We start from the raw sequence: 3,456 nt of genomic DNA, 5'->3' as shown, positions 1-3,456 counted from the left end.
CATTTATTCTGTTGCATTTATTTTCATTTTTGTGACATTATAAATCACAAACAAATATTTGTCATCTCTTGCTATTTCTTTTGTAGTAAATTTATTAGTTGGTATAATATAATTCATTAAGCATTATGTTTACAGCTATATTTTGCTTTTGAAAAACCAATTCAAATTCAAAATAATAAAAACACATTTTTAATATTTAATTATGAATTATATAAGGAACTTCTTTTAAATGAACAAGAAGATTTTACATATTTTATCTCCTGAAATCATCAGAAACCTGTGAAATATGACACAATAGCAACATTATTGATAATAAACAAATCGTATTTGATGTATGCCAGCACTTTACTTACATTATGAGACTGACACACTGCCTACTGCTCTAAGGAGGCAACTAGACTTACATTAAATAATATAATTTCACAAGTCTATCAGGTAGTTGCTAATATTTGCCCACTTTACAGATAAACAAAATGTGACACAGTTTAAGAAATTGGCCTTCAGTCACATAGTTCAAGTTGTAGACAGGTTTTGATCCTGGCTGTCTAAGTCCTTAGTCACTTTGCATACCATCTTGACTCTAAACAAAAGAATATTTATCCCTACCTACGGACATAGAAACTCAGGTCTAAATATTTTTTCAGTTGTGTTTCTATAAATTTCAAGTGAAACATTCAAATTTGGCATAATATTTGTTCAAAGAAAAGGTATTTAAAAATAGATACCAATGAGATTATTGGGATAGAGGCAATTATGATTTACCGTTTTCATCATACAGTTTTACTCCTACAACTTCTAAACATGAGAAATCTACTCTTCTTTTAGTAACAAATGCACCTTCTGTTTTTTAATGTGAATTTTCATGTATGAGTGAAAATGTGTGATTATTTTCTTCCTAAAACATTTAACACAAATAATATTTTAGTCCTTCTTGTAGAATCATATGATGGATGCTTTCCTCCATTAATTTTAGAAATTTAAATTTTAGTAACAGAAATTTAAAACACGATGCAATAATTTTATTTTTTCTAACGTGTTTAAAATGTCTATGTTGTAAATCTAAAAAACTGCTTGAAGAAACCTATCTTGAAGAAAGAAATAACCAATTAGAAGATTTGGAAATTACATATAGGTATCTTGATGATTGTTTATTTTTAGGTAGATAAAGAATTCATCTTTCAAATTTTAGCATAATTTATACCCACAAATCTGAATGAATACAATGGGTTATCTAATTAGCAATCAGATATTTTACTCATTAATGTCATTAATTATCAGATGTGTGTAAAATGTAAGCTACTTTTAGTTTTTAAAGAAGAAAAAATAGATCCATAGTATTATAAAAAACAAACTAAGTAAATTTTTATTACATCAGGAACATTTATTCTGAGTGTTCAAACAAATCAAGTAAATATATTTTCATCACAATCACTCATTCACAAACATGCACCTGTATTGTAAATACTAGACTTGTAGAAAAACTTCTGTTTAATCTTGGGTGGTCTCTTTGCTCAGGTTTGATTAAATATGTCTTTTCACAACAGGTGACTTTTTAATTGTTTTCTTATGGCAACCCATTTATTCCTTAGGCTTTGTTTGGCTTGCGTTAGTTTTCAGAGTTAATGGCCATGTGTGAGAACATGCTGAGTACAGGTGGCCAATGGTTATGCTGAGAATGTGGGTGTTACAGCAAAGGCAGTGGGCAAGTGATTTAACTTGACCAATTAATAAAGTGTTTGAACCCTCAAGGTCTTTCAAACAGAAAGCAAGCTCAGAATAGGCATTTGGTAACGCAAGTATGAAATGAAGAGTAAAACAGCTTGTTCTTTGCATTTATTGGGTTTTCCTTCTTTAGTGCGTTGAGCCTTTTTCCTTACACAGCTTAAGGGCTCAACTCAACTTTTTCAGAGTGGCTTCTTTTCTGTGTGGGCAGTTCCATTAGTATACTCGGTATTTTCCTCACTCTGACTTTTGCATTCTTATTTTGGTCCTTCTAGAAGCCTATCAGGCTAGCAATTTGAGCTCTGGGCCTGCTTTGTTTATTTCTTCCTGGCCAACAGATATGGGAAATTCTATAATAAGGAGCATTATGATCCCTAGCACCCAAAAATGAATGCTAATTTTACATATGCTTAAGATAAATTAAACAATAGAAGCTGGATTAGGAGTAAAAATTTATGCCCAGGCAATCCTGACTGAGGAGAACCAAAAGGAAAAATGAGATCTTTGGATGACCTAGGCTACCAAAAACTAGCACCAAACATAGAAAGAGCTTTCCCACTGGGCTTAATTTTTTTCTTTTTCTTTTTTTTTTCTGACAAAAGGAACATTTGTTTGCAATTAGCTTAGGTAAAGAAATAGCATCTGAACTCTTATTTTCCAATTGGAATGACCCCATGACCTGCTATGAAGACACTTGGAATATTTATTCAGTCTTGGTTAAGGATGTATGGGGTTGGGGTCAATTTTAACAAATGTGAATGCATTTGCCAAGTGTTTTTCAGTTTCAAAATTATCCAAGCACCAAATGATGAAATAGTCCTTAAAATTATTTAAAAGTGTTTTTAGTAATATGTACTGAATTCAATTACAGTACCATTGCATGCTGAAAAAATCCCTTGATGTGTGATAAATTGACAAATATCAGTGAAGAAAGCAAGTTTCCACAAATGTCAATATAGTAATCTGCCAAAAAACAGGAGGAGGAGAGTTGAAAACTATGTCTACAAATAGGTGAAGTTCATTTAAAACCAACAAAGAAATAATAAACAAGAATCATGTAAAATACAGAGAAATCCATGTAAACCGTACTGCATCCAGTTTCTTTCAGTACATCAAAAACTGTCTGACACTAAAAAAGGAATAGTTCAAATCTTACTTTCTTTCTTTTACAAACAGCCAACTACCTTTGAAATGATTTCTAAATGTTGGATTTTTCAGATGTGGCCATTCAGATTCTCTATGTTGTTGTGGCCTAACTTTAAAATTTTGAATACAAATAGTATATGCATTTTCCTTCTAGTATATTCTTTAATTCTGACAACATAACAATTATCTTAATAGTTTATTTCTATAAAACTGAACTAATACAATTTAATGGGAAAAAGAAATCCTCGATACTAAAATAATTTAGGAAAGAACCAACCTGCTTGCCACCTTCCACTACTCCAACTTGTCTTAATTCAGTGTTATTTGCAGTATATACTGTGTTCCTCATCTTGGAAACAAGGGAGTAAATAATACACTGGGAAAGGGGAAAGGTGGTTCTTCTCAGTTTCCTACATGAAGATTTCTATAAAGATATTAGAACATTGTGGTATTGGGACAGGAGTTAAGATCTCTGCTTTAAGCTTGGAAGTGCTATTAATGTGACTTCATAAGACCAACGTTTTTTAAAAATGTTTTTCTCCTTCCTTGTCCATAAAAGCTATCTTTACCTCTTAGTGACCTTGAGTA

At 31.4% G+C, this 3,456-nt stretch overlaps 1 annotated feature.

The window, feature by feature from the left end:
* Positions 1,366–1,886: an enhancer, noted in NCBI's record as "NANOG hESC enhancer chr13:81432206-81432726 (GRCh37/hg19 assembly coordinates)". NCBI's record gives its function as "activates a minimal SCP1, AML or CMV promoter by ChIP-STARR-seq in naive H9 embryonic stem cells {active_cell/tissue: H9 hESC(naive)}" and the evidence as "EXISTENCE:reporter gene assay evidence [ECO:0000049][PMID:30033119]".

This window comes from Homo sapiens, chromosome 13 (assembly GCF_000001405.40).
Source record: "Homo sapiens chromosome 13, GRCh38.p14 Primary Assembly".
Classification (NCBI taxonomy): domain Eukaryota; kingdom Metazoa; phylum Chordata; class Mammalia; order Primates; family Hominidae; genus Homo; species Homo sapiens.
This window is presented reverse-complemented; position numbering and strand designations above follow the sequence as displayed.